This window comes from Homo sapiens, chromosome 1 (genome assembly GCF_000001405.40).
Source record: "Homo sapiens chromosome 1, GRCh38.p14 Primary Assembly".
NCBI classification, from domain to species: Eukaryota; Metazoa; Chordata; class Mammalia; order Primates; family Hominidae; genus Homo; species Homo sapiens.
The window spans coordinates 155,050,083-155,076,343 of NC_000001.11; the positions used below are offsets into that span (position 1 = coordinate 155,050,083).

General features: G+C 56.4%; 4 protein-coding genes and 2 long non-coding RNA genes across 22 annotated transcripts in view, besides 11 other annotated features; 5 read left to right on the plus strand and 1 right to left on the minus strand.

Annotated features, from left to right (window-relative positions):
- Window positions 1–848, plus strand: part of DCST1 (DC-STAMP domain containing 1) — a 17,125-nt gene extending 16,277 nt beyond the window's left edge. For both annotated transcript variants that reach the window (NM_001143687.2, NM_152494.4), the window contains one exon: window positions 535–848. In NM_001143687.2, the coding sequence (NP_001137159.1) occupies window positions 535–786 (252 nt within the window). In that variant the 3' untranslated portion in view covers window positions 787–848. The remainder of the gene's footprint in view (window positions 1–534) is intronic.
- Window positions 1–13,909, minus strand: part of DCST1-AS1 (DCST1 antisense RNA 1) — an 18,801-nt gene extending 4,892 nt beyond the window's left edge. The window contains exon 1 of one of the 2 annotated variants that reach the window (NR_040773.1): window positions 13,675–13,909. This is a non-coding gene — a long non-coding RNA (DCST1 antisense RNA 1). Of the gene's footprint in view, window positions 1–524; window positions 1,084–13,674 lie in introns of those variants that run through there. The other variant, NR_040772.1, reaches the window with a different exon arrangement.
- Window positions 409–468: an enhancer, noted in NCBI's record as "active region_1802". NCBI's record gives its function as "activates an Ori minimal core promoter by ATAC-STARR-seq in GM12878 lymphoblastoid cells {active_cell/tissue: GM12878}" and the evidence as "EXISTENCE:reporter gene assay evidence [ECO:0000049][PMID:35858748]".
- Window positions 939–1,398: a silencer, noted in NCBI's record as "silent region_1383". NCBI's record gives its function as "represses an Ori minimal core promoter by ATAC-STARR-seq in GM12878 lymphoblastoid cells {active_cell/tissue: GM12878}" and the evidence as "EXISTENCE:reporter gene assay evidence [ECO:0000049][PMID:35858748]".
- ADAM15 (ADAM metallopeptidase domain 15) lies at window positions 1,234–12,693 on the plus strand. Of its 12 annotated transcripts, none has more exons than NR_048578.2 (23): window positions 1,234–1,383; window positions 2,589–2,695; window positions 3,335–3,411; window positions 3,828–3,906; window positions 4,068–4,144; window positions 4,232–4,424; window positions 5,708–5,770; window positions 5,850–5,918; window positions 5,998–6,167; window positions 6,304–6,388; window positions 6,871–7,019; window positions 7,106–7,280; window positions 7,555–7,647; window positions 7,769–8,073; window positions 8,164–8,359; window positions 8,628–8,705; window positions 9,820–9,892; window positions 10,123–10,261; window positions 10,681–10,750; window positions 11,333–11,407; window positions 11,822–12,035; window positions 12,163–12,287; window positions 12,378–12,693. NR_048578.2 is itself a non-coding variant. In NM_207197.3 (23 exons), exons 1-23 carry the CDS (start codon window positions 1,305–1,307, stop codon window positions 12,418–12,420), a joined length of 2,592 nt encoding a protein of 863 aa, NP_997080.1. In that variant the 5' UTR covers window positions 1,234–1,304; the 3' UTR covers window positions 12,421–12,693. The 12 variants fall into 12 exon arrangements, 9 of the variants coding, with proteins under 9 accessions (NP_997080.1, NP_997079.1, NP_997077.1 ...); NR_048577.2 differs by having other exon boundaries at window positions 11,336–11,407; NM_207197.3 differs by having other exon boundaries at window positions 11,822–11,893.
- Window positions 1,234–19,471, plus strand: ADAM15-EFNA4 (ADAM15-EFNA4 readthrough). Its single transcript, NR_176418.1, has 26 exons — window positions 1,234–1,383; window positions 2,589–2,695; window positions 3,335–3,411; window positions 3,828–3,906; window positions 4,068–4,144; window positions 4,232–4,424; window positions 5,708–5,770; window positions 5,850–5,918; window positions 5,998–6,167; window positions 6,304–6,388; window positions 6,871–7,019; window positions 7,106–7,280; window positions 7,555–7,647; window positions 7,769–8,073; window positions 8,164–8,359; window positions 8,628–8,705; window positions 9,820–9,892; window positions 10,123–10,261; window positions 10,681–10,750; window positions 12,163–12,287; window positions 12,378–13,177; window positions 13,697–13,854; window positions 14,360–14,478; window positions 16,648–16,934; window positions 17,290–17,358; window positions 18,771–19,471. It is a non-coding gene; the product is annotated as an ADAM15-EFNA4 readthrough (long non-coding RNA).
- Window positions 6,655–7,465: an enhancer, noted in NCBI's record as "H3K4me1 hESC enhancer chr1:155029213-155030023 (GRCh37/hg19 assembly coordinates)". NCBI's record gives its function as "activates a minimal SCP1, AML or CMV promoter by ChIP-STARR-seq in primed H9 embryonic stem cells {active_cell/tissue: H9 hESC(primed)}" and the evidence as "EXISTENCE:reporter gene assay evidence [ECO:0000049][PMID:30033119]".
- Window positions 13,059–13,148: a silencer, noted in NCBI's record as "silent region_1384". NCBI's record gives its function as "represses an Ori minimal core promoter by ATAC-STARR-seq in GM12878 lymphoblastoid cells {active_cell/tissue: GM12878}" and the evidence as "EXISTENCE:reporter gene assay evidence [ECO:0000049][PMID:35858748]".
- Window positions 13,529–13,678: a silencer, noted in NCBI's record as "silent region_1385". NCBI's record gives its function as "represses an Ori minimal core promoter by ATAC-STARR-seq in GM12878 lymphoblastoid cells {active_cell/tissue: GM12878}" and the evidence as "EXISTENCE:reporter gene assay evidence [ECO:0000049][PMID:35858748]".
- On the plus strand, window positions 13,658–19,471 carry EFNA4 (ephrin A4). 4 transcript variants are annotated; one of them, NM_001406810.1, is made up of 5 exons: window positions 13,658–13,854; window positions 14,360–14,478; window positions 16,648–16,934; window positions 17,290–17,358; window positions 18,937–19,471. In NM_001406810.1, the coding sequence occupies exons 3-5, from the start codon at window positions 16,763–16,765 to the stop codon at window positions 19,089–19,091; spliced, it is 396 nt and encodes a 131-aa protein (NP_001393739.1). In that variant the 5' UTR covers window positions 13,658–13,854; window positions 14,360–14,478; window positions 16,648–16,762; the 3' UTR covers window positions 19,092–19,471. The 4 variants fall into 4 exon arrangements, with proteins under 4 accessions (NP_001393739.1, NP_005218.1, NP_872632.2 ...); NM_005227.3 differs by lacking the exon at window positions 14,360–14,478 and having other exon boundaries at window positions 18,771–19,471; NM_182690.3 differs by lacking the exon at window positions 14,360–14,478 and having other exon boundaries at window positions 18,917–19,471.
- The window catches only part of EFNA4-EFNA3 (EFNA4-EFNA3 readthrough), a 23,799-nt gene continuing 11,195 nt past the window's right edge, over window positions 13,658–26,261 (plus strand). The window contains exon 1 of the mRNA NM_001407761.1: window positions 13,658–13,854. Coding sequence (NP_001394690.1) covers window positions 13,742–13,854 — 113 coding nt within the window. The 5' untranslated portion in view covers window positions 13,658–13,741. The remainder of the gene's footprint in view (window positions 13,855–26,261) is intronic.
- Window positions 13,969–14,118: a silencer, noted in NCBI's record as "silent region_1386". NCBI's record gives its function as "represses an Ori minimal core promoter by ATAC-STARR-seq in GM12878 lymphoblastoid cells {active_cell/tissue: GM12878}" and the evidence as "EXISTENCE:reporter gene assay evidence [ECO:0000049][PMID:35858748]".
- Window positions 14,609–15,110: an enhancer, noted in NCBI's record as "NANOG hESC enhancer chr1:155037167-155037668 (GRCh37/hg19 assembly coordinates)". NCBI's record gives its function as "activates a minimal SCP1, AML or CMV promoter by ChIP-STARR-seq in naive H9 embryonic stem cells {active_cell/tissue: H9 hESC(naive)}" and the evidence as "EXISTENCE:reporter gene assay evidence [ECO:0000049][PMID:30033119]".
- Window positions 19,433–19,945: an enhancer, noted in NCBI's record as "H3K4me1 hESC enhancer chr1:155041991-155042503 (GRCh37/hg19 assembly coordinates)". NCBI's record gives its function as "activates a minimal SCP1, AML or CMV promoter by ChIP-STARR-seq in primed H9 embryonic stem cells {active_cell/tissue: H9 hESC(primed)}" and the evidence as "EXISTENCE:reporter gene assay evidence [ECO:0000049][PMID:30033119]".
- Window positions 20,459–20,971: an enhancer, noted in NCBI's record as "H3K4me1 hESC enhancer chr1:155043017-155043529 (GRCh37/hg19 assembly coordinates)". NCBI's record gives its function as "activates a minimal SCP1, AML or CMV promoter by ChIP-STARR-seq in naive H9 embryonic stem cells {active_cell/tissue: H9 hESC(naive)}" and the evidence as "EXISTENCE:reporter gene assay evidence [ECO:0000049][PMID:30033119]".
- Window positions 21,331–21,410: an enhancer, noted in NCBI's record as "active region_1803". NCBI's record gives its function as "activates an Ori minimal core promoter by ATAC-STARR-seq in GM12878 lymphoblastoid cells {active_cell/tissue: GM12878}" and the evidence as "EXISTENCE:reporter gene assay evidence [ECO:0000049][PMID:35858748]".
- Window positions 21,486–21,998: an enhancer, noted in NCBI's record as "H3K4me1 hESC enhancer chr1:155044044-155044556 (GRCh37/hg19 assembly coordinates)". NCBI's record gives its function as "activates a minimal SCP1, AML or CMV promoter by ChIP-STARR-seq in naive H9 embryonic stem cells {active_cell/tissue: H9 hESC(naive)}" and the evidence as "EXISTENCE:reporter gene assay evidence [ECO:0000049][PMID:30033119]".

Here is a 26,261-nt window from a genome sequence, read left to right on the forward strand (position 1 = left end):
TTTCTTGGGCAAAGAGTGGCTGCTTCCTGGGTAAGGTGGCCTGTGGAAAATCCCTGACAACTGTGTAGAGACATGTCGTGAGGGATGGCAGGGAGCATAGTGAACTAGGTTTGTGGTTTGGAATCAGGGCCCCTGGGGTCCAGCCAAGTTGGATTGTTTACTATCTGTGTGACTTTGAGAGTCACTTCACCTTTCTCAACTGTAAAGTGGGGATAGCAACAGTGATAGTCGATCTGGCCTGCTCACTTCTCAGCCTCACTGTGAGAACCAAATAAGATGATTTACAGGAAAGTGCAAATGAGAGTTGTGGCTGATATCCGCTTGGAGAGAGCCTGGAGGGTGCATCCTCCCATTCTCCATCACAGAGTTGGGGAGGGAGGCACCCTCGCCCTCCAGGGGTTTCCTTTGTCCAACCCAGCCTCCTCCAACACGCGGGAATTGTCAGGCCTGGCGACTTCAGACAGGAAACGCTGTCCAGTTCCCCTTCTTTCCCGCCTCGCTCCCGGGCTGGCGCTAACGCCCACCTCCCAACAGCGCCACCCGCTGGCGGATATCCTGCACCGCGGCTGCCCGCTCCTGCGCCGCTGGCTGTGCCGGCGCTGCGTGGTGTGCCAGGCACCCGAGACGCCCGAGTCCTACGTGTGCCGGACGCTGGACTGCGAGGCCGTGTACTGCTGGTCGTGCTGGGACGACATGCGGCAGCGGTGCCCGGTCTGCACGCCCCGCGAAGAGCTCTCTTCCTCCGCCTTTAGTGACAGCAACGACGACACTGCCTACGCGGGGTGAAGAGGCGTCCTGCTCGCTCTTCCGCACCGTCCTTCCCGGTTAATAAAATGCCCTGTACGCTTCACGTGGGTCGGGGACTGGGGTGAGCCGCGCACTGCCTCGCCTGCAGTCGGGAAAGCCTGCCCGCCCGACCTCTCCGAGCCAGGCCGCGCACAGGAGGCAGGGAGGCCGCGAAGCTACTAGGGAGGGGTCCGGACCTGGCGCCGGGTGAAGGCGCGCCGCCCAAGCCGGTCGGACCGGGCACCGGCTCCCACTCCGCACAGTTGCGGGGAAGCGGTAGCGCTGAGCAGCGCGGGCGTAGTGGGCGGTGTCCCCGCTCCCGAGGCACCCGGCGCGCAGCGGGGCGGGCTTTGCCGGGGGCGGAGCTTGGCTTGGGGCCGGGTGGGAGGGGGCGGGCCGGGGCGGGGCCTGGTGGCCGCGCGGCGCTGCTGGGTTCTCCGAGGCGACCTGGCCGCCGGCCGCTCCTCCGCGCGCTGTTCCGCACTTGCTGCCCTCGCCCGGCCCGGAGCGCCGCTGCCATGCGGCTGGCGCTGCTCTGGGCCCTGGGGCTCCTGGGCGCGGGCAGCCCTCTGCCTTCCTGGCCGCTCCCAAATATAGGTGAGTCCTCCGCCTGGAGTGGGTCGGGGGGCGGACTGGGAGGGAGGTGCAGGAAAGTCGGAAGGCATTAGGGTAATGGGGCCGGACGGAGACCCTGGGAGAGCCCAGCCAGAGCGCGGCCCGCCCTGGTCCGCTGTCCTGGGCCTAGGGCCCGGTGACTTGGCGATGGGGTGAAAAGAGAAGGAGGGGGGATGCCGGCGCCCCCTGCCTCCTGCCTGGTCATCCTCTGCGCGGTCCCTGCGGACACTTTCAGGCTCAGGTACCAGGTACCGAGGGGCCTGTCCAGCGCCACTTCAAGATCGTGATGAGAGGGTCGCTGCTCCCCAGGACTGGCATCTTCGCTGCTCTGGGGCCTAGCTAACCGTTCGACCCGGTGCCAGGGCGCTGAGCGGGCATGGCTTGTAGGGTTTAGTGAAGAGGATTCTCTCTAGCCTCTATTCCAGGCCTGGGGCCGCCAGGCACTCCTCACCCTGGTGCTGTTGCCACCAGTGCCTGGCCGAGCGGGAGGGGCCCGAGATGAGCCAGGAGAAGGGAGAATTGGCCAGGAAAGAGGCTGGGACACCAACTCCTCCTTGGAACTTTCACTTCCCGCTGCTGTCTTGGGCCGGGACCGAGAGGGCAGGCGCGGGTGGAGTGTCCGGAGGAGAGAGGGCCATTGTGTGTTGGGGGGGTGGGGGGTGCTCGAGGAGGAAGCAGAGGCTGTAGGCAGCGGGTGTGCCTGACTGGGCATGAGGGTGTTTAGGGAGGTGGGGGTGTTTGCACTGCTCACCCAGAAATGGGCGTTCCTGGCATCTCCGATGTGAGCGAAGGGGAGGGTGAGCGGGCACCCGGCCACAAGGCTTAGCTCAGTCTCGAGAGGGGGCGTTCCTGAAGTGGGGGGAGAGTGATTGGGAGGGAGTGGGAACCGGGGAGGGTCCTGTGAGAACCTGGGATTGGCCGGAAGGGGACAAGGAGGGCCACAGGCTGCGCAAGCCGAAAGTCTTTCTTGGGGACTTGTGAATGGGTTGGTGGGTGGAAAGCCATAAATTAGAGAGACACCCTCTCCTTCCAGTATTCTTCTTTAAGTCTCAGCATGCAATGTGGAAGCCCCTCAGGTACCTAAGGGTCTTGATGGGCTGGGAGCTGGTGGATCTGAGGGCACCTGTCACCCCCAGCCCTGCTGTCGATTCCCTCAGTACTGTCTTGGGGTGTCCTGGGACCTGCAGGTGGCACTGAGGAGCAGCAGGCAGAGTCAGAGAAGGCCCCGAGGGAGCCCTTGGAGCCCCAGGTCCTTCAGGACGATCTCCCAATTAGCCTCAAAAAGGTGCTTCAGGTGAGCTCTCACTCCCCTCTAATAAATAAACGAATCCACACACGCCCCGGTATAGCCAGGTGTCTCAAAGCCAAAGCTTGGCTGAGGAGCTGGTGGGTAGAGCTCACTGTAGTGGGTCTATCCCAGGCCCAGCTGCCTCTCCCACCACACCCCAGCACCTGGCTTCACTTATCTCCCTCTCCCTCTGCACACACGTGTATCTGTCTGCCTCAGCCCCACCCAACCCATCCATCTCCACTGGGGAAATTGTGAAGCCAAACTTGCTTTCTTCATCTCATGTTGTCGGTTTTCTCAGTGGGGGGATTTGGAAAGAGTCAGGACCTTACCAAACCCCCCCCCCCCCACCCCATTCTAAAGCTGAGTCAGAGGAAGGGCTGGGGCTTGTGCTGGGTCCTACACGGTGCTTCCTCTCTGGGCAGGAAGCCGAGAAGGGGTGGCTCAGATACCTTCCTTGACCTCCGCACACAACCCCCCAGAACAATGCTCCAGGCCAGGCAGGGTTTCCTGGCCCCTCCCCTGGGATCCCCCCACCAGTGATCTAATTGCTGGTGCTCTTCTGTGGGCCTGAGGTTTTCTGGTTAGAGAGGCTGGGAGTTGTGGACAGGTCTAGGGAGGTGACCTGCCCTCTGGTGCCCACAGACCAGTCTGCCTGAGCCCCTGAGGATCAAGTTGGAGCTGGACGGTGACAGTCATATCCTGGAGCTGCTACAGAATAGGTAATAGTGATGGTGGCAATAACAGTGACCACATGGCCAACAACTTGTATAGCATTTATTATGTGCCAGGTACTAAGTGCTTGTGCTCATTTAATCCTCATAACAGCCCTATAAGGGATATACTATCATGTATTATTGTCCTCACTTTATACATGAGGAAGTCAAGGCACAGAGAGATTAAATAACTTGCCCCAGGTCACACAGCTAGTATGTGGTGAAAACCAGATTGGAATTCAAATAAACTAACAGAGTCAGTGGCCCAACCAGTATACTTTGCTGCCCCGGGGTCAGGAGTGGAAAAGTTGGCTGCGGGGGTTGCCTGGTCCCCAGCCCCACAACCACCTTCAAGCCTCTGCTTGTCAATGCACGACCTGGGAAGTGGCTTTAGCACTGCCTTCTTTTTCTTCACTCCACAGGGAGTTGGTCCCAGGCCGCCCAACCCTGGTGTGGTACCAGCCCGATGGCACTCGGGTGGTCAGTGAGGGACACACTTTGGTGAGTCAGGCCCTCTTGTGCCATTTTTGGCTTAGGGGAAAGAGGGAGGGGGTGGCTGGAAGGTGAGAGGACACTGCATATTTTTACCGTCAAGCTAGGCTCCTCAGTTCCAGTCCTGGTGTGCTCTCTGAGACAGCACTAATGTTGTTCCCATGCTGCAGGAGAACTGCTGCTACCAGGGAAGAGTGCGGGGATATGCAGGCTCCTGGGTGTCCATCTGCACCTGCTCTGGGCTCAGGTATACTGGGCGGATTTAATGACAGTAGAGAAAGTAAGGAGACCCAGGCATGGAGCTGAAATGTTCTCTGACTTTCTTTTTTCTTAGAGGCTTGGTGGTCCTGACCCCAGAGAGAAGCTATACCCTGGAGCAGGGGCCTGGGGACCTTCAGGGTCCTCCCATTATTTCGCGAATCCAAGATCTCCACCTGCCAGGCCACACCTGTGCCCTGAGCTGGCGGGAATCTGTACACACTCAGAAGCCACCAGAGCACCCCCTGGGACAGCGCCACATTCGCCGGGTGAGGATGAATGGCAGGGGGGTGGGCTTTGGTTGTCTTGAGGGCTGATCCCCAGACACTTAGAGCTATGTGTGCACAGTAACAACAGCTCCTGCGAATGGAGCACTTTCCACATGCTGGGCACTTTGTGAACATTAGCTCGTGTACTCCTCCCATACCTAGGAGGTAGGTGCTATCAATAGCTCTATTTTAAAATGACGAAACCTTACAAAAAGTATCTGGGCATGGTGGCGTGCACCCGTAGTTCCAGCCACTCAGGAGGCCGAAGTGGAAGAATCGCTTGAGCCCAGGAGGCAGAGGTTTCAGTGGGCCGAGATCGAGCCACTACACACCAGCCTGGGTGAAAGAGTGAGACCTCGTCTCAAAAAATAAAATAAAAATAAAATAAAATAAAATCTAGCTGAGACAGATTAGGTGGTTTGCCCGAGGCCCTACAACTAATAAATGGCCTATCCATTTATTAGTTGTATTTGGCTCTTCATCTGTCTTATGATCCCATTTGCAGAGAGCTCTCACTTGGTTATAGATAATACATAGTTACCAATGATGAAGCAATATAAACCCAATTTCCTAATTTGTAAAATGAAGATAATAAAACTACTTGCTGCATAGAGTTGCTGGGAAGATTAAATAAGTCCATATAGATGTAAAGTGCTTAAAACTATGCCAGACCTATGGTAAGTGACAAGAGTTGTTATTGGGATTTTTAAAAATTATTATTATTATTATTATTATTTGAGACAGAGTCTCGCTCTGTCTCCCAGGCTGGAGTGCAGTGGCATGATCTCGGCTCACTGCAAGCTCCGCCTCCCAGGTTCACGCCATTCTCTTGCCTCAGCCTCCCGAGTAGCTGGGACTACAGGCGCCCGCCACTACACCCGGCTAATGTTTTGTATTTTTTAGTACAGACAGGGTTTCACCGTGTTATCCAGGATGGTCTCGATCTCCTGACCTCATGATCCACCCGCCTTGTCCTCCCAAAGTGCTGAGATTACAGGCGTGAGCCACCGCACCCAGCTAAATTACTGTTTTTTAAAAATTTGAAAAAAACCACTGAGTTTGGAGCCAGAAAAGCAGGGGTCTACTCCAACCTTCATTATCTACTTCCTGGTCCTCCTTGGCAAGTTCCTGGGCCCTCTGGCCTTCAGTGGCTCATCTGTAAAATGGGCTCTTCACCCTCCTATTTGACCCACAGAGTAGGAGTGGCTGCCTCTTGGTCAGCCCGGCACAGCTGCTGGCTGCGAGCGGCAGGTTTGCCTGATAATTCTTCTTGTCCATAGTAGAGGCGGGATGTGGTAACAGAGACCAAGACTGTGGAGTTGGTGATTGTGGCTGATCACTCGGAGGTGAGCCTGCTGGCCCCTGCACATCCTCCTCCCCCTGCACTGCCCTGCCGCCTTTCATGTCACCTCTCTTGGCCTACAGGCCCAGAAATACCGGGACTTCCAGCACCTGCTAAACCGCACACTGGAAGTGGCCCTCTTGCTGGACACAGTGAGTGCTGGACAGGGCAACCCCCACCCCAGGCCCCTGACCATGGCAACCCCTCTTCTGAGCCCCAGCTGTCTTTCAGTTCTTCCGGCCCCTGAATGTACGAGTGGCACTAGTGGGCCTGGAGGCCTGGACCCAGCGTGACCTGGTGGAGATCAGCCCAAACCCAGCTGTCACCCTCGAAAACTTCCTCCACTGGCGCAGGGCACATTTGCTGCCTCGATTGCCCCATGACAGTGCCCAGCTGGTGACGTAAGGGCCCCAGACTCAGCCAGAGAGGCCAGTCCTGTCCTGGCCAAATTCACACCCCTTCAGCACCCTACCTCAGCCCCTGAAGCTCTGACCACCGTGGCTTCTGGCCCTGAACTTTAGCCTCTCTGTCCCACAGTGGTACTTCATTCTCTGGGCCTACGGTGGGCATGGCCATTCAGAACTCCATCTGTTCTCCTGACTTCTCAGGAGGTGTGAACATGGTGAGTTATTTCCAGGTCTCCTCCTCATTCCCAATTCAGTTCCTCCCAAGTGTGGTGGCATTTATGCACTGAAACCCCCCTATAAAGTTGCCCAACCCCAAAGCTACAGGTATAGAGGGTGGAGGTACGTGATGTGGCCTTTGCTATCAGGGAGCCCTCGCTTATGGCCAGCTAGTCACAGTGTACACAGTCATCCCCTGTGCAGTCTTCCCATTTCTTAGAGGAGGGTAGGAGGCAGCTAAGGCCCAAAGAACAGAGGTGATCTCCCTCCAGTGAGGGAGGGGGACAGAGCTGAGCTAGAACCCAAGTTTCTGCCATCCAGGCCTGGGTTCTCCTACTTTAGAAGCAATTCAGGAGGGAAGCAGTGCCTGCTGAGTGCCCACGAGGTCAGACGTGGAGGGAACAGGAGCAGAGAGGGTGGTCTGGGCATTGTGGTGGAGGCAGGCTGGGACTGGACCTACAGTACCCCTCCCCAATGACAGGACCACTCCACCAGCATCCTGGGAGTCGCCTCCTCCATAGCCCATGAGTTGGGCCACAGCCTGGGCCTGGACCATGATTTGCCTGGGAATAGCTGCCCCTGTCCAGGTCCAGCCCCAGCCAAGACCTGCATCATGGAGGCCTCCACAGAGTAAGTAGCTGCAGGATGGAGAGAGGGTGTGGGGCAGGGGGCAGGGAGAGGCCCCCAGCCCCAACCTTCCTTGCCACCCTCCCCAGCTTCCTACCAGGCCTGAACTTCAGCAACTGCAGCCGACGGGCCCTGGAGAAAGCCCTCCTGGATGGAATGGGCAGCTGCCTCTTCGAACGGCTGCCTAGCCTACCCCCTATGGCTGCTTTCTGCGGAAATATGTTTGTGGAGCCGGGCGAGCAGTGTGACTGTGGCTTCCTGGATGTGAGCCCCTTTCCCAAAGCCTCGCCCCACTCACTTCTGTACCCTCACCCTGGCTCATTAGCCCTATCCCAGCCTCCTGAGCTCTTGGGTTCTGAAGGGACTTTCCACCCCTCTCCTACTTGCCCTGTCTGTGGGGACAGCACATGGGTTGTTGGGCTCTAGCCCTCGCTTGCTGTGTAGCTTCTGGTCTTGGCCTGTGGGAGGAGGAGAGATTGGAGGGAGGCTCACAGGCCCCACCTGCTCTGATGCCCGGCCCCCGTGCTCCTGCCCACAGGACTGCGTCGATCCCTGCTGTGATTCTTTGACCTGCCAGCTGAGGCCAGGTGCACAGTGTGCATCTGACGGACCCTGTTGTCAAAATTGCCAGGTGGGTAGAGACTAGACTGGCCACCCGGAGCTCACCTGCCGGGGCCAAGGTGGAAAGGGTCATTCTGACCCCCGGCTGGATTTGCTCAGTGCCCACACTGATGCTCATCCACCCTCCACAGCTGCGCCCGTCTGGCTGGCAGTGTCGTCCTACCAGAGGGGATTGTGACTTGCCTGAATTCTGCCCAGGAGACAGCTCCCAGTGTCCCCCTGATGTCAGCCTAGGGGATGGCGAGCCCTGCGCTGGCGGGCAAGCTGTGTGCATGCACGGGCGTTGTGCCTCCTATGCCCAGCAGTGCCAGTCACTTTGGGGACCTGGAGCCCAGCCCGCTGCGCCACTTTGCCTCCAGACAGCTAATACTCGGGGAAATGCTTTTGGGAGCTGTGGGCGCAACCCCAGTGGCAGTTATGTGTCCTGCACCCCTAGGTAAGTGAGGAAACCTGGCTCCTCCTTTGGGTTTCTGAGAGCCTTGGCCCTGCTCCTACTAACTCTGTGTGCCCTTCCCCCTCCCCACAGAGATGCCATTTGTGGGCAGCTCCAGTGCCAGACAGGTAGGACCCAGCCTCTGCTGGGCTCCATCCGGGATCTACTCTGGGAGACAATAGATGTGAATGGGACTGAGCTGAACTGCAGCTGGGTGCACCTGGACCTGGGCAGTGATGTGGCCCAGCCCCTCCTGACTCTGCCTGGCACAGCCTGTGGCCCTGGCCTGGTGAGCAGCCTGGGTGGGCAAGACCAGGTGTGAGAAGGGACATTTGGACCACAATGAACAGAGCCCAGACTTCACCATTCACCAATGTCAAAGGCAGGGACTCCAAGGGAAGTCAGTTTCTTACTTCAGATGGAGCAAAGTCCTATCAACTCACTATGCCTTGGTTTCCCCATCTGTAAACGCAGGGTATGGCCTCAACCTTATTGGCCTCCCAGTCCCATTAAAGCTTTGTGGGAATCTGATCCAGGCTCTTCTCTCCCTGGGTCAGGTGTGTATAGACCATCGATGCCAGCGTGTGGATCTCCTGGGGGCACAGGAATGTCGAAGCAAATGCCATGGACATGGGGTGAGCTGGGATGGGGGAAGTGGAAGGGGAGCAGAGAGCCTCTAGAGAGGAAAAGGATACTGGGCTTTGGAAATAGACATATCTGGGTTTTAATCCTTGCTCTACTACTTCCCAGTTGTGTGACCTCGGGCAGGTTACTAACTTTGCTGAGCTCAGTTTCCCCACCTATCAAATGGCTATAATAATAGTATCCCCATCCAGGGTACATGAGATGAGTATGAAAGCATCTAGCACAGGCTGGGCACAATGGCTCATGCCTATAATCACAGTTTTTTTGTTTGTTTGTTTGTTTTGTTTTGAGACAGAGTCTCGCTCTGTTGCCTAGGCTGGAGTGCGCTGGCGTGATCTCGGCTCACTGCAACCTCTGCCTCCCAGGCTCAAACATTACTCATGTCTCAGCCTCCCTACTCGCTGGGATTACAGTCACCCGCCACCATGCCCAGCTAATTTTTGTATTTTCAGTAGAGATGGGTTTCACCATGTTGGCCAGGCTAGTCTTGAACTTCTGACCTCAAGTGATCCTCCCGCCTCAGCCTCCCAAAGTGCTGGGATTATAGGGGTGAGCCACTGCACCCAGCCAAATCACAGTACTTTGGGAGGCCAAGGCAGGAGGATTACTTGAGGCCAGGAGTTCAAAACCAGCCTGGTCAACATAGTGAGACCCCCATCTCTTTCAAGGAAAAATTTAAAAATTATTCAGGCCTGCTGGTGCACACCTATGCTCCCAGCTACTTGGGAGGCTGAGGCAGGAGGACTGCTTGAGCCCAGGAGTTTGGGGCTGCAGTGAGCCATAATTGCACCACTGCACTCCAGCCTGGGCAACAGAGTGAGACTCCATCTTACTTGCTGTCTAAAATAAAATAAAATAAAACAAAACAAAACAAACACAAAGAAAGAAAGCATGTACCACAGTGCCCAGCACACAGAAGGAGCTCAGTAAGTGTTAGTTTGATCTAATTTGCTCTGGTATGGATAAAGACCCTCCCTCCGGGCTGTCTCTACACACATACCCAGCACAACCCCCAGTTGTAGAAATCTGAGATCTTGAAAAGCTAGAGACAAGGAAATAGTTCCAGAGTGCAGAGCTCCTCATTGCTCGCCTTGTACCTCCTAGGTCTGTGACAGCAACAGGCACTGCTACTGTGAGGAGGGCTGGGCACCCCCTGACTGCACCACTCAGCTCAAAGGTAGCATGGGGGTGGGGGACAGGGGCAGCTGGGAGGGCAAAGCGTCTCATGCTTTATCTTGCCCCCTCGGCCCTCTCTTTCTGACCCCCCTTTGCTGCTGGTTCCCTGAGTCTGTGCCCCTTGAACCCTTCACTCTCCCTGATCACTTGACTTCACTCCCTGCCCCCTGCGCCTTCATGGATCTAGAGTTCTTAGCCCCGTCCTCCCTTAAACCTGACTTCCGCCCACAGCAACCAGCTCCCTGACCACAGGGCTGCTCCTCAGCCTCCTGGTCTTATTGGTCCTGGTGATGCTTGGTGCCAGCTACTGGTACCGTGCCCGCCTGCACCAGCGACTCTGCCAGCTCAAGGGACCCACCTGCCAGTACAGGTATGAGCATCACCTCCCTGCTACCACTTCCTTCAACTGGGGACAGTGCTGAAGGCTGCCTCACCTCTGCAGCCCCTGCCACCTGGTTCTGAGCCCCAGGCCCCTTGGACCTTAAAGTTGCTGACTGCCATACCCCACACCTCCCTTCCCTATATGTGCCCACAGCTTTTTACCTCACAGCTGTGCCCCTGTGGGGTGGCTGGATTGCTAGGGCCATTTCTCCCCAGGAGCCCCTGTGCTGGATAAGTAGGGTCTTCCCTCAAGCTAATAAATACTGCCCCCCACCCCGGCCCTACCACAATTTTACCTAAACCACACATAAGTGCCTGCAAAGGGTTAACCCCACTCAGGGATGGCATATGGTAGAAAACAGGGTCTGAGGCTGGGCCCTCTCCCTTCTTGCCTTTCCTCATGCATAGGGCAGCCCAATCTGGTCCCTCTGAACGGCCAGGACCTCCGCAGAGGGCCCTGCTGGCACGAGGCACTAAGGTGAGTCCTGGATGCCAGAGGAAGGGGACTCCACCTTGGCCGGGCATCCAGCTTGGGCCCTGGGGGGTGCGCATTAAAGGCTCCAGACTCAGAGAAAGGCTAGCACTGCCCAAGAGTCAGTCGAAGGAGTCAGGGCCAGCCCTGCCCTCCCCTCCCCTGGCTACAGGCAGGGAAGCTGAGTCCAGAAGAGTGGGGAGGGCAGCCAGCTGGAGCAGGAGCTGCTGGGCTCCGTCCGCTGGCCAAGAGGTGGCTTTGAGAGGTGGATCTATCCATGCCCCCAGCAGTGACCCCAGGAGGGCACAAGGGCAGTGGTGCTCAGAATGGCCTTCCGTAGGCCCAGGTCACCATGTTAGAAGGGCTGGTGAGCATCCCCACCCTGAGCCCTCTGCTTGGATGATGGGAGTGTGTGCACACCTCCTCCCCACTCGCTCCCCACCTGCATGCACCTGCATAACTGCATGCACAGCACCCACTGCCCTGGGCCCCTGCTGGCCCCCCCTGGGCACTGACCCTTCCCTGCCCACTCTGTCTCTCTGCTTCCTCTTCCCCCTCTGTGCCTATCTGCCCCTCCTGCCCTCTCAGCAGGCTAGTGCTCTCAGCTTCCCGGCCCCCCCTTCCAGGCCGCTGCCGCCTGACCCTGTGTCCAAGAGACTCCAGGTAAATCTGGGCCAGGGCCCGCCCTGAGCCAAGGCAGGTGGGAGGCTTGGTACCCAACTGCAGTTCTCATCCCTGCTCCCTGCCAGTGGTGCTCTTCATTAGGTGATCGGGGTGCCCCTCAGCCTTCAGACACTCTGAGCCCCAGAAGCAGCAAAGGGTGAGCCTCCTGCCTTGGTTTCTACCACCATCTGGTGGTCAATGGCGGGACTGCAGTCGGCCAGGGACTGCGGTTGACCTACACCTTCCTCCCCTGAGACATCAGCTGGCATGCCTCCAAGCCCTCTGCGCATGCCCTCATTCTCTCCTGCCCCCTGGCTGACTTTGCATGTTGACTTGAACCCCTCTGGGGAATCTCTGTGCATGTCCACAGCCCCTGGTTATGCTCTCACAGCCACTGCCCCTCTCTCTGTTCAGGCTGAGCTGGCTGACCGACCCAATCCCCCTACCCGCCCTCTGCCCGCTGACCCGGTGGTGAGAAGCCCGAAGGTAACGGTGGGGGGAGAGAAGGGCACGGCCTCTCCCCCCACCTAGGGCTGTGGTGCTGGTAGCCATGACGGTGGTGGCCGTGGCGAGATGCCCCCTCAGTGCATGAGGGCACATATCCCGGTGGTGCCTTTAATGGTGACAGGTTTGTTTGCAGACAAGGGTGACCGCTGGTGCTGCCCCCAAGCTGGTGTTCCCCAGCACCAGTGCGTTGGGGGTGGGCAACATGACACCCCCCCACCTAAGCCGGCCTCCTGCCTTCTCTCCCTCAGTCTCAGGGGCCAGCCAAGCCCCCACCCCCAAGGAAGCCACTGCCTGCCGACCCCCAGGGCCGGTGCCCATCGGGTGACCTGCCCGGCCCAGGGGCTGGAATCCCGCCCCTAGTGGTACCCTCCAGGTAGGAGGAGCCCTGGGCATGGGTGGGCGGGGCGAGTGACCTGGGGGAAAGGGGCCTCTGACTCTTTTTTCTTGGCTTCCCGCAATCCAGACCAGCGCCACCGCCTCCGACAGTGTCCTCGCTCTACCTCTGACCTCTCCGGAGGTTCCGCTGCCTCCAAGCCGGACTTAGGGCTTCAAGAGGCGGGCGTGCCCTCTGGAGTCCCCTACCATGACTGAAGGCGCCAGAGACTGGCGGTGTCTTAAGACTCCGGGCACCGCCACGCGCTGTCAAGCAACACTCTGCGGACCTGCCGGCGTAGTTGCAGCGGGGGCTTGGGGAGGGGCTGGGGGTTGGACGGGATTGAGGAAGGTCCGCACAGCCTGTCTCTGCTCAGTTGCAATAAACGTGACATCTTGGGAGCGTTCCCCAGAGTTTGTCTGCTTCTAGAACCCGGGTCGCTCCTGCTGCGGTTCCAGGTTTGGCCGCCAGAAGACGCTGCCGCCTCAGACGAGGGCGGGCTGTGTGGGGCGGGAGTACCAGAAAGGGTCGGCGTGTGTCCCCGGGATGCTCGCAGCTTCCCTCTGCCCAGACTGGGGTGGCTTTCGGCGCAATCTGTCAAGCTGTTGGACCTGCCGTCCCCACTCTGACCATTGGCTGGGAAAAGTGGATCTGGCTGATGCTCCCAGAGCCCAGGAGCCAGGGCGGAGCGGGGCGGCGGCTGCTCCCACGATCCCAAGGCCGCGCACCTGCCTCCTCCCCCTCCGCCGCCGCCACCTGAGGGATCGGGAACAAAGGTGCTTTGTACAGGCCGCAACCACCTCATTACTTCGTCTTAGGGACTGGGGCCGCGTGGGCCCCCAGCCCGGAACGAAGGTGTGGAGCGGCAAGGGACAGACGCCAATCCTAAAGTGAGCATCTAGCGCGCCACCTAAGGCTCTTTAGGGAAGGTGGTCCCAGAGCTGTGTTGTCCCTTCCGCTTGCACTGTCCCTAGATGTGCAAAGAAAACGGGGCAGTGCATGAAGGTGGTTGGACAGGCTTCATGGATCCTCGCCCGCGCCTCACTTTCCCCTATCTGGGCAAAGGTTATGTACCCTTATTTAAAATCTTCCAAACTTCTAATAAGGCAGTCTACCCTGCACTAAAGCAGACACGAAAGAGATGACCTCCCTAAAAATACTGCTGTTGGAATACGTCCTTCCTTCCCGCCCCCTCGCAGTGCGGTGCAGCCTCAGTGGAAGCTTTGGCGAACCTGGCGCGCGCTGCGGTGCACAGAGGGTTAACTGGAGTTGGCGCTGGGTGGAGAGGAGGAGACGCGCTCCCATTGGCGGAAAGTTATTCAGGGGCGGGGTCAGTGAATCTCCGTACCCCACTCCCCTTTCCGCAACTTCCCTCTTCACTTTGTACCTTTCTCTCCTCGACTGTGAAGCGGGCCGGGACCTGCCAGGCCAGACCAAACCGGACCTCGGGGGCGATGCGGCTGCTGCCCCTGCTGCGGACTGTCCTCTGGGCCGCGTTCCTCGGCTCCCCTCTGCGCGGGGGCTCCAGCCTCCGCCACGTAGTCTACTGGAACTCCAGTAACCCCAGGTAGCCGGGCCGAACCGGGCGAGCGCACAGCCAAGTCTGCGCGCTCCCGGGCTTTGCGCGCGCCCGCCACCCGCTCTTTGCGCGGCGCCGCCTGAGCCTGGCCGCGCGCCGGGGCTCCTTTGTTTGAGCCGGCGGGGGAGGGGGGAGGGGCGAGGGGCGAGGCGCGCCCTGGGTCTCCCCACAGCCCGCATGTGTTGGGGGGCAGGCAGAAGACCCCAGCCCCAAGGGTTGTCTAGGGGGTCTTGGAGCATGGAGCTGGGGGGGCCTTTGCCCGCACTCCGGGCTCCGCCCCCCTCGCTGCTCTCCTGGCGATCCCCAGCCTCCCGCAGGCTGGAGCTGTGGCTGACGAACTTGAGAGCGAGGGAGGGGGCTTTACTCTTATGAAAGAGCGTGGGTTACTCTCCTGCCCGCTGGGTCTCACCTCTGGCTCTCACTCTGTCTCCTGATCTCATTTGCTATCTCTGCTTTCATCTCTGTCTTTATTGGTCCTTCTGTTTCTTTCCAGTGTCAGCCCTGCCCTTCTAGCCGAATCACCTCTGGGCAAGTCTCGTGACCTTCCTAACCTCATTTATCTCACCTGTATAATGGGCTAATAATACCTAGTACCCTGGGAAGTCTGGCAGGGTAAGTGAGGTCATGTATGTGAAAGAGGCTCAGGCTGTACAGATATAAACTATTATTTCTTTCTCTCTCCTGAGCTGCCTGCCTTTGAACCTTAGTATATTTTACTGTTTCCATCCCCCTCCCCAAGTCTCCCTGCCTCTCCTATTTCCTATCTGTTTTTCTTTCTGATTTTCTACTTGAGACAATCTGTGACTATTCATTTCTTCACTCACTAACATTTATTTATTAAACACATACTGTGTGTGCCCGGCCCTGTGCTAGGTTGCAGGGGATTAACTATATAGATGAGAAGATCAAGACCCTGCCCTCTGGGATTCCACAGACTCTCTGGAGAACAGGCGCAGGCAGGAGAGCCTGCATAAAGACAGGTCATTACAATACCAATAACAAGTGATAAGAGCTTTTGTTGTCCTTGGACTCTGAATTCTCTATCTCTGTCACAGACCAAAGCTTCTGAATCACTTGGAGGACCTGTTAAAAATTCAGGTTTCTCACCCCCCAATCTTAAGGTTTCTGGCTCATTCATTCAATCCACAAATATTTATTGAACACTGTCCTGTGCTGGGCACTTTTCCAGGCACGGGGGATGCAGTAGAACAAAACTTACCAAGGCCCTGTCCTTGCTCAGCTTGCGTTCTAGTAAGTCTGGGCTGGCTGAGCCCAGGAATCTTCATTTCTAATCAGAACTGATACAGGTCGTCCTTGGACCACCCACTGGAGGCTTTTCCTAAGTCATGCTTCGCTGTGTTTGTGGTATGGGGGGTGGTTCATGCAGCATTCAGTACTGTGGGGAGCAGCCCCTTCCAGCCCTTCCCACCTGTGCTGGCTTCCCCAGGCAGCTCCCAAGAGGTGGGGAAGGGAGTCCTGAGAAGACTGAAGACTGGGTAGTATGTGGACTCCCCCCATGCCTGGCACTTGCTCCTCCTGGCCAAAAAAGGGAGGCACCTAGCACCCACTCCCTCATTCTTTTTTTTTTTTTTTTTTTAATTTTTAGAATTTAGAGACAGGGTCTTGCTCTGTCACCCAGGCTGTAGTGCGGTGGCATAATAGCTCACTACAGGAACTTGCGGACTCTAAGGATCCTCCCGCCTCAGCCTCCCAAGTAGCTGGGACTACAGGAGTGCACCACCACTCATGGCCTTTATTTATTTATTTATTTATTTATTTATTTATTTATTTATTTATTTTTTGAGATGGAGTCTCGCTCTGTCTCCCAGGCTGGAGTGCAGTGGCGCAATCTCGGCTCACTGCAAGCTCCGCCTCCCGGGTTCACGCCATTCTCCTGCCTCAACCTCCCAAGTAGCTGGGACTACAGGTGCCCGCCACCACGCCCGGCTAGTTTTCTTTTTATATTCTTAGTAGAGACGGGGTTTCACCGTGTTAGCCAGGATGGTCTTGATCTCCTGACCTCATGATCCGCCCGCCTCAGCCTCCCAAAGTGCTGGGATTACAAGCGTGAGCCACCGCGCCCAGCCTATTTATTTATTTATGGTAGAGACAGTCTCACCATGTTGCCCAGGCTGGTCTTGAACTCCTGGCCTCAAGCGATCCTCCCACCTCGGCCTCCCAAAGTGCTGGGATTCAGATGTGAGCCACCACACCTGGCCTCCCTCATTCTTTTTTTACCGTGACATTCTTTTCACCCTTGGGTTGAAGTCAGTCTAAAGGACAGTGTTCCTCACTTTATATCTGTTTGAGGAGACCTTTCCCAACCCCTGTTTCCACCTCTGTGTCTGCAGCTGCACTGTGTGCAACTGTACCTCCTGCCTCTCTGCCCAGCTTCTTCACAGCATCCATCCACCTGACATTGATCAAGCCTGGTGCTATACCACATTGAGTGTTGGGCACTGGAGCTAGAGAGGTGTGTGGCAGCTCCAGCCTGTAGGACAGGGTGTGGTGACCCTCCTTCTCACATCTAAGCTGTGTGGTTATGGGCACTGCAGGTCTTAGCCTCTCGGAACCTGTGAATCGATCATCTCATCCATTTCTTGCACTCTCTTTGTCTCTCAAGAGTTGTCAGTCTGGGAACCTCGGGCCTTCCTGAGCTGCTCCATCGCACATGGGTGGAGGAGAGGCTGGCAGGGGCCTCTGAGAAGGGGTGTCTCTGGCATCCATGGCCATGGCGTGGTGCCCTCCACTCCTCAGCCCACCCCTGCGTTATGCCTGCAGGTTGCTTCGAGGAGACGCCGTGGTGGAGCTGGGCCTCAACGATTACCTAGACATTGTCTGCCCCCACTACGAAGGCCCAGGGCCCCCTGAGGGCCCCGAGACGTTTGCTTTGTACATGGTGGACTGGCCAGGCTATGAGTCCTGCCAGGCAGAGGGCCCCCGGGCCTACAAGCGCTGGGTGTGCTCCCTGCCCTTTGGCCATGTTCAATTCTCAGAGAAGATTCAGCGCTTCACACCCTTCTCCCTCGGCTTTGAGTTCTTACCTGGAGAGACTTACTACTACATCTGTGAGTGGCCAAGGGCACACTGGACACCTCTTGTGTACCAGAAGGGTAGGGAGGGGGAAGGAGAGGCCTGGAAGGAGGAGGGGGCTGGGTCTCTAATGTACATCGGGTTGAGGTATGGGCTGAACTCAGGACTGAGGAGGGAAATGTCTAGAAAGGAGAAAGTAGGAGGAGCTAGGAAAGGGGGCCAGGGAGATGAGAGGACTGGATGGGGCCTGATACATGGGTGTGGCCCCAAAGTAAGGAAACGCTTTCCAGGGACCTGGAGAGAAGAAAACCTGGGAGGGTCTGAAACAGTCTGAGGCATACAAAGGGGTGACTCCCTGTGCTAACTTTTTCCCACTTTCCCACTACCCAGCGGTGCCCACTCCAGAGAGTTCTGGCCAGTGCTTGAGGCTCCAGGTGTCTGTCTGCTGCAAGGAGAGGAGTAAGTGGGTTGGGAGCATGGACCCTACTGGCTAATGTGGGGCCTTGGGAAGGAGGGAAGGAGTGAGAAGAATCTAGGAGGATCAGACTCCAGGGGTCCTGGTGAAGCTTCAAGCTGTGGTCTCTTCTCCCCATTTAGCCTTGAGGGAGCTTCTACTGCACCATCCTCTCCCCACTTCTGTTTTGTTTTGTTTTGGTTTTAGACGGAGTCTCGCTCTGTTGCCCAGGCTGGAGTGCAGTGGCTCGATCTCAGCTCACTGCAAGCTCCGCCTCTCTGGTTCACGCCATTCTCCTGCCTCAGCCTCCGGAGTAGCTGGGACTACAGGCACCCGCCACCACACCCGGCTAATTTTTTGTATTTTTAGTAGAGATGGGGTTTCACCGTGTTAGCCAGGATGGTCTCGATCTCCTGACCTTGTGATCTGCCCACCTCAGCCTCCCAAAGTGCTGAGATTACAGGCATGAGCCACCACCCCCAGCTCCCCCACTTCTTTTTTAAGAGACAGGGTCTTGCTGTGTTGCCCAGGCTGGAATGCAGTGGCACGATCATACCTCTCTGCAGCCTCAAACTCCTGGGTTCAAGCGATTCTCCTGCCTTAGCTTCCCGAGTAGCTGGGATTACAGGCATGTGCCACCACAACTCACAACTGGCTAAATTACTTTTTATTTTTTGTAGAGATGGGATCTCAGGCTGGCCTTGAACTCCTGGCCTGTGTTGCCCAGGCTGGTCTTGAACTCCTGACCTCAAGAGATCCTCCTGCCTCCCAAAGCACTGGAATTACAGGCGTGAGCCACCATGTCTTGTGTGGCCTCACTGCACACTTTTTTTTTTTTTTTGAGACAGAGTCTCGCTCTCGCTCTGTCGCCCAGGGCTGGAGTACAGTGGTGCGATCTCAGCTTACTTCAACCTCACCCTCCTGGGTGCAAGCAATTCTCCTGCCTCAGTATTCCGAGTAGCTAGGACTACAGGTGTGTGCCACCCAGCTGATTTTTTTTTTTTTTTTTTTTTTTTTTTTTTTTTTAGTAGAGACAGGGTTTCACCGTGTTGGCCAGGCTGGTCTCAAACTCCTGGCCTCAAGTGATCCACTCGCCTCAGCCTTACAAAGTGCTAGGATTACAGGCGTGAGCCATCACACCCGACATACTGTACACTTTTTAAAGCTGGGCCAAGAGAACAGGGTGTCCAGGGGCAAGGCCCTTCAAGGTCTTAGCTGAGTTGGTTGTCTCTATTGGCAATTTTGGGGAGGCTTGGAAGTTGGGGCTTAGAAAGGATGAGGTCATAGATCATGGGAAGGGAGTGGCTGGTTTGGGAGACCCTGGAGGATGGGAAAGGAGGGAACTGCTAATGGGAAGGGGAGGAAGGAGGATGGTAAAGTGGGAGGACTGATCAGTGCTACCCCCTCCCCCTCACAGAGTCTGAGTCAGCCCATCCTGTTGGGAGCCCTGGAGAGAGTGGCACATCAGGGTGGCGAGGGGGGGACACTCCCAGCCCCCTCTGTCTCTTGCTATTACTGCTGCTTCTGATTCTTCGTCTTCTGCGAATTCTGTGAGCCAAGCAGACCTTCCCTCTCATCCCAAGGAGCCAGAGTCCTCCCAAGATCCCCTGGAGGAGGAGGGATCCCTGCTGCCTGCACTGGGGGTGCCAATTCAGACCGACAAGATGGAGCATTGATGGGGGAGATCAGAGGGTCTGAGGTGACTCTTGCAGGAGCCTGTCCCCTCATCACAGGCTAAAGAAGAGCAGTAGACAGCCCTGGACACTCTGAAGCAGAGGCAAGACAAACACAGGCGCTTTGCAGGCTGCTCTGAGGGTCTCAGCCCATCCCCCAGGAGGACTGGGATTTGGTATGATCAAATCCTCAAGCCAGCTGGGGGCCCAGGCTGAAGACCTGGGGACAGGTCGATTGCTGGACCAGGGCAAAGAAGAAGCCCTGCCATCTGTGCCCTGTGGGCCTTTTCCCTGGGGCAGCACCTTGCCCTCCCCAGGGGATCACTCACTTGTCTTCTATGAAGACGGACTCTTCATGAGGTTGAATTTCATGCCAGTTTGTATTTTTATAAGTATCTAGACCAAACCTTCAATAAACCACTCATCTTTTTGTTGCCCTCCCCAATCTACTGCCCTCAGGCCACTTCCCTGATAGCAGGACTCCCTGTGGCCTGGGCTCTCAGCTTAGCTTGGCCTGACCTCCATGCCAGCTGTGCTCAGGCCATCCATGCCAGGCCTCAGTGGGCACCCCTCTGGGCAATGTGGGGTGGGTGCCAGCAGCAGCTGTGGAGCTTGGCACCCTCTCTCACCTCCCCAGCCGGCTTCCTGTGCTGAGGAGGGGCAGATGCTCCTGACAGCCCATCCGCTTGGGGCCCTGCCCAAGTCCTGGTAGCACCAACCAGGGCGCCCAGCAAAAGCAAAGGGTAGTATTAATAGCATCTGGGTTTCAGAATGCCTGGGTCCCTGAGAGCTGGTCATCCCTCCCCCTCCCCAAGGGCACTCTGGGCGGTGCCTGGCCTAGAACTGGGAAGGTGGGGTCAGATCAAAGCCTCCGTCCCCAGCGGCCTCTTTGTTCTTAGCTTTTATAAGGAGGAGGAGGAGGTGGGGCTGAGGAGGGAGGGCTCCCTCTGCTCTCAGCCCACACTGTCTCTTCCACCTCTGGTAGGCGAGGCTATGATCCCCACAAGGCCAAGTGGGGCCCTCTTTCTGAATGGTATCCTAGGTGGTGCCTGGGTAAGGGGCGCCCCTTCCCCTGCAGCTGTACTTTACCCGCCCTGGTGCCCCGCAGCCTCCACTGGCACGGTGCCGGCCCGCCTGGCACCGAGCCAGCCATCGATAGGTGGATGTTGTGCTGATTAGCTCGGCCCGGCTGCGGCAGCGAGAGGCAGCGTGTGAACATGGTTACGGGGTGTGGGGGAGACGGCGGGGTGGGGGGAGGGCGCTAGAGGTCCAGAGACCGACACAGAGGTGCTAGGGTTTTCTAACCCCTCCCCCACCCCTTTGCACACCTAGGTCAGATCCCGGTCTCTCTCGGAGGGGGCGGGGGCCCTATCCCCCACCACCATGCACCCATTTCGGCTGCCATCGTTCATGTTAATTCGATTGCTCTAGCTGAGGCCTTGGGTGGAGGGCAGCACCGCGGGCAGAGCGGACTCCAGTCTGTCCCTTCCCCCAATTCGAGGCCACCTTTCAGAAAATGCCTCTTGTAGGTAGGTGCGTGTATCAGGGCCTTCACCCCAAACCTTGATCTTTAGCGGGGGCGAGGGTCTGGGACGCGAAGGGGAGGGTGTAGTCGGCTGAAGGAGAAGCTATGGGCTAGGTCTTCAGGTCCTGGGTTCAAGTGTTCAAGTTCCATCTTTACCGTCATCCAGGAGGGTGTCTACACGTTGCCATGGAAACTGGCTTTACTGCTACCTCCGCCCCTCCCAAGTGAAGCCATAGGCGGAGTAGACTGGGAGCGACTAGTTAGCAGCCCTTTCCCTGGATTGAGAACTGTGGGGGTCTCACCCGGCTCCCAGCGGCCCCAGGCCAGCCTCCTTTTCGCAGAACCAGGCGGGCGCGCTCGCTCCCGCGGCTGGGGCTGGCGCGCGGACGCGCCGCTGATAACGCATGTGCGAAAGAGACGCGGGGCCCAGTCAGCTTTCTCCGCACTCAGACGCACGCCCTAACTGTCGGGCGCTCCCACTTGACACGGACACACGCCCCTGCCGGCCGCCCAGCCCCTTGCAGGTGCAAGGGCGGATGCCTCAGCGACCACGGGAGCCGGGCTGGGGAGGTTGGTGGGGGGCGGGGGGAGTCTTAAACTTAGGCCCGCCCAGCCACAGGCGCTCAGGCCCAGCCGGCCTTCCCTATACAACTTTCCTCATAGCATGCGCGGGCGGCTGATTCAGTCCCGGGGCGCGTCCCCATGGAAAGCCAGGGCTGAGTCCACTCATGGGGCCGAGACGGGCTGCAGGCGCTGGGAGGTCTTCCAGGCACCGGGCCTTACCCACGAGAAGTCGAGGCGTGTTCCAGGGCGCAGTTCCAGGAGGCTGGGCAGGCCTGCAAGTTTTGGGGCGTCACCGATCTCCCCTAAACTCAGTAGCGCTAGGCGGCTTAGGGTGGGGCCCTCAATTTGCTGGGCCTGCCCTAGTCTCTCCCGAATAGATGCGAAAACTCCACTCATCTTTACCTCGCCCTGTCTCCCTGTTTGAGAGCCTGAGAGTCTCTGCGACGGGCAATCCTGCTCCACACTTTCTGGGGTTTCAAATCTCCCTTTTCTTCTCCAGATTCAACCCTGAAGTTTTGTTCTTTTTCTGTCACCTCCCCCCTTTTTCTTCTTCCCTTTTATTAGTTCCTTCTTTCCTTTTTCATTCACTCAGCACATTGTGAGCTTCCAGCGCGCCTTTCTTTCAGTAGGCCAGACGCTAGCTGGGGTCGTCGGGGGATCCCCAGCGGTGACGCCATTGAAAAGGGTGCGCTCTGGCTTCCAAATAGCCAATAGAATCCCGGGGCCTGGGGCATGAGGTCATCAGCGGTGATGCCCATTGGTTCAGGTCTGGAAGTGAGGAAGGGGTCCCCATAGCAACCGACGGTGCGTCCGAGTGCAACCTGGAGAGTAATGTTTGCCTGAGCTGCTGTGGCAGCTTGGGTGGGTGCTTGGGATGGGGTGAGGAAGCTGGGGTGGAGCTCAGCTTCCCAGGTCCTGCAGCCCTAGCCCAAGCAAGCTCTTATCTCTCTTGAGATCCTTTTTCGTTCTCAAAGTAATGGTCAGCACCACTTAACGCAGAAAGATTAGGAGTAGGTTGGTTATTGGCAACAGCATTGGGGTGCAGAGCTGCTGCCACCAGGAATGTCAGTACTGAGATCCTGTGTTCATCTGCATATCGTCTGCATCTCATTTGCATTCTCTTCATTTAAGGTCAAATTGGGCAGACATCTCCACATCCCCAGCCCTGTCGCCTGTCTGTTTCTGGAATCTATCCCTGAGTGGCTCTGTAATCTGTCCCTCAGTTCTCCACCTTCATACCCCACCTCTCCCATTCTCCAGTGTCTGTTGGGGACGGATGGGGCAAAGCCAGCAACAGAAGAAAGGATAAGGAGTTTGTTCTCCCGCTGGATGTTTGGTGACAGATGGGGAGTACTAGTCTATACTGCTTGGCCCCGGCTGGGTGGAGGGTCTCCAGGGCCAAATCACCCACATGCCTGGCGGGGTGCTGGAACTAGGGATGCCTGGTTCCAGCAAGGGGCAGGCCTGCCCACCTGTCTGGTGCCAAGGCAGCTTCCTTCCTCCAATTAAACACTAATGAGGTGTCATTAACCCTTACCTTGCCTGCCAACCCTCAGGTTGAACTCAAATTCGTGGTCTCACACTGAGGGAAGGGAAGGAAAGGAGGGCTTCTGGAGAGCTGAGTGGTGGTGAGGGGACCAAGAGAAAAGAAGGCAGGGTCAGAAGCCTGAGTAGCATGCACGGTTTTCTACTGTGGGCTTCTGAAGGATTCTAGAAATGGGAGTCCCACTGTCAGAAGGCATTTATTCTTTTGTTCCTTGATTCAACAATTATTAAGCACCTCACTACTCCTACTAAGTAAATACTAGGCTGCATACTAGATGCTGGGGACACACACTTGCATAAGACAAGATCGCTTCCCTTAAGGGATCTTCAGATTACCCAAGGAGACAGACTGGCCAATGAGTAATTATAATGCAAAGTGAAAATGCTAATATAGAGCTATATACGAAGTGTTATGGGAACACAGGGAAAACGGGTCATCAGAGAAGGCTTTGATTTTGAAGGACAAAGTATATGGCAGAGAGGGGATGTGTAGAACTAATAATGTCTGTGGGTTTGACACAGTGTGGGTCTATGTTTGGATGTGTTTTCAGGACTGCTGGTGTCTGCCCTCCCAGAGCGGCATGTTTTGCATCCGTATGTATGTGTGTGAGTTAGTGTATGTGTGTTGTGTCTGGAATCCCTTCTCCTGAAACACATTGTGGTTTTATTACAGATCAATGTTTGCTGTGAAGCTCTTCAGCAGATTGGCCTGAACCTGCCCAGCCCAGGGGAGGGGAAGTGGAGACTGATGTTGGCTCCTTGGGAAAGGGTGGGCAGGCACCATCTTCACACCTGGGGGCCCAGACCCCTGGCTCCCAAAGTGGCAGCAGGCTGACCAAAGAAGGTGAAGGGTTGGGCCCCTGGCTTTGTAGGGTGTGCCCAGGCTCTAGTCCCCTCTGTCCCTAACTCCTCAGAGGAGACATGGGGGTTACCGCTACCACTCCCCACCAAGATCTCAGGCCCCCTCCCCCAACCTGTTCTTCTTCTGTCTGTGGAGGAGCAGGCCAGCTCAGACCTGTTTGCTGGCTCTCCCACAGGGAGCGGATCCTTTCCAGGGGACACAGAGGGCTGGGGAATGCTGGGACCTACTGGGAGGCCGCCAGATACTCCACCCTGGCCCTCTGAGGCTCTCTCCATCCTGGATTCTCCCCACCCACTCTGGGGTGCCACTCTTCTGGTTTTTGCCCAGACACAATCATTTTTGTCAAGGAAGCCTTCAACCACTAGGCAGAGGGTGGGGGCCAGAACTCTGGCAGGGAAGACTTGTTGGGGGTGGTGGTTATGATGCTACTCAGAGACCTCTGCTCCAATCTCTCTGCCTCCTTGCAGCCACTTCCTTCCTTCCTTTCTTTTTTAAGAGACAGGGTTTCACTCTGTTGCTCAGGCTGAAGGGCAATGGTGTGATCATTGCTCATGGCAGCCTCAAACTTTTGGACTCAAGTCATCCTCCTGCCTCAGCCTCCCAAAGTGCTAGGATTGATTACAAGTGTGAGCCACTGCATGGGCATTGCAGCCACTTTCTTTTATTTATTTATTTATTTATTTTTGAGACAGAGTCTCGCTCTGTTGCTCAGGCTGGAGTGCAGTGGCACGATCTCGGCTCACTGCAAGCTTCGCCTCCCGGGTTCACGCCATTCTCCTGCCTCAGCCTCCCGAGTAGCTGGGACTACAGGCACCCGCCACCATGCCTGGCTAATTTTTTGTATTTTTAGTAGAGACGAGGTTTCACCATGTTAGCCAGGATGGTCTCGATCTCCTGACCTCGTGATCCTCCCGCCTCAGCCTCCCAAAGTGCTGGGATTACAGGTGTGAGCCACCCGGCCATTGCAGTCACTTTCTAGAGAGCTAAACTTTGGTGAAAGTCTGGATTTAGGAAGACTTTTAAGGCTTAAGGAGAGTCTCTGGGGTCTGAGGAGAAGGTCAAGGTCCCTTCTTCCACACTGTCAAGAATAGAGACTTCCTTTTTTGACTGTAACCTCCTCTTCTCATTCCATCTAATCTTTTCCTACCCCTTGCATACTTTCTAAGCCCTAGGTCACATCTCTCCCTATGTTAGCTGTTAGGAAAGCTTGGAAATGAGGGAGAACAAATGGAAAAGAGTCTGGGCTGGTCTAGGTGGGCAGACCTCAGTAGATAACCTCTTAATTATAAGAAACCCTCCATTAATCCAGTGCCTCTGGGATCCTAAACACTGTGTTAAGTGCTTCCCAGGTATTATGGATCTTAATCCTCTTAACTACCAGCTCCCTGAGGTGGGGCATTATTATCCCCATTTTACAGATGAGGAAGCAGTCTCAGAGAAGTTGAGTGACTAGCATAGTTAGCGAGTGGCAGAACTGGAATTCGAATCCAAGCCCAGGCTGTTCACTGCTAAGCCAATACTGCTGCCTCTCAGCTTTTCTTGAAATACATTCAGAGGACTCACACACACCTCTAGTGTAACACCCCAGAGCTCCAGGCTTCTTGGCTTGCTGGACTCATTAGAGGGATCAGGACATGACCAGAATCAGAGGTGATTACACCCCAATGCCACCCACCAAGCCCTGCATCCTAATTTCCTGTGAACTGGACCACATACCAGTGCTTATGTTCCCTGCTGTCAGGCTTGTATGTAGTTCCATGTCAACTCACAGACGTTAGAGCATCCTCAGAGCCATGCCGACACACACACACTTGCTGGGACCCAGGTTTCCTGGTTAGGACGGCACCAACAGCCTGCCTGGGCTGGGGCCACACACACGGGCCCTGTGCAAGGTGCAGAACCTGTGAATATTTCATGCCTGGAGCTGGCAGCTGCCTCTCTTGCTCACACGTGTGCCTGATCTTCCCTCTCACAGGCTCCTTGTTTATTTGTTTAATGAATTATTTATCCATGGCCCCGCTTCCCTCCTGACCTCCCCCTTCCCCAGGCCCTAGCCTCCATGATTTATTGAACACAGCTCAGCTCTGTGGTTGCCACCTACTGTCCCAGACGCTGCCTTCGGCCACACAGCCTGAGAGCTCCCTCTGTCCCACACCTGCTCAGCTCCCTGCTTCCTTGGCCCCTGAGGGATGGAGGAGAGTGAGGCACCATGTCAGAGTCCTCCCAGGAGCTGAGCTCAGTGTCCCGGGAGAGATCTTGGCAGCCAGCAGTGTGCTAGCAAGCCCAAGAGTCAGAGCCTGCAGGTAAGGAGGAGGAGGCCTGAAGCCCTGAAAACAGGACCAGCCCCATGGAGGGAGCTCCAACCTCCACAGAGGCCCTCATCCAACAGAGAGGTCGTTCAGGGCCCAGGCCTTAGACACCAGTTTTTCACACTATAGGTTGTGATCTATAGTGGGGATGGTAAAGTCAAGAAGTCAATTTTATGGGCTTCAACCAGCTTTTTATTTTATTGTTTTTAATTTTAAAACTAGAACAGAGGAAAATATCATCGTGCATCCTCTGTAGTAAGGGTAAGTATTGTTTCATGAAACTTATTATTTCAGTTAAATGTGTGTGTGTATGAGTGTGTGTGTATGAGTGTGTGTGTGTGTGTGTGTGTGTGACTGAACTGCAGTGCAAAATATAATCCTACTGTGGTGGATCACAGTCAGAAACAATTTGAGTTACATTTATACCCAA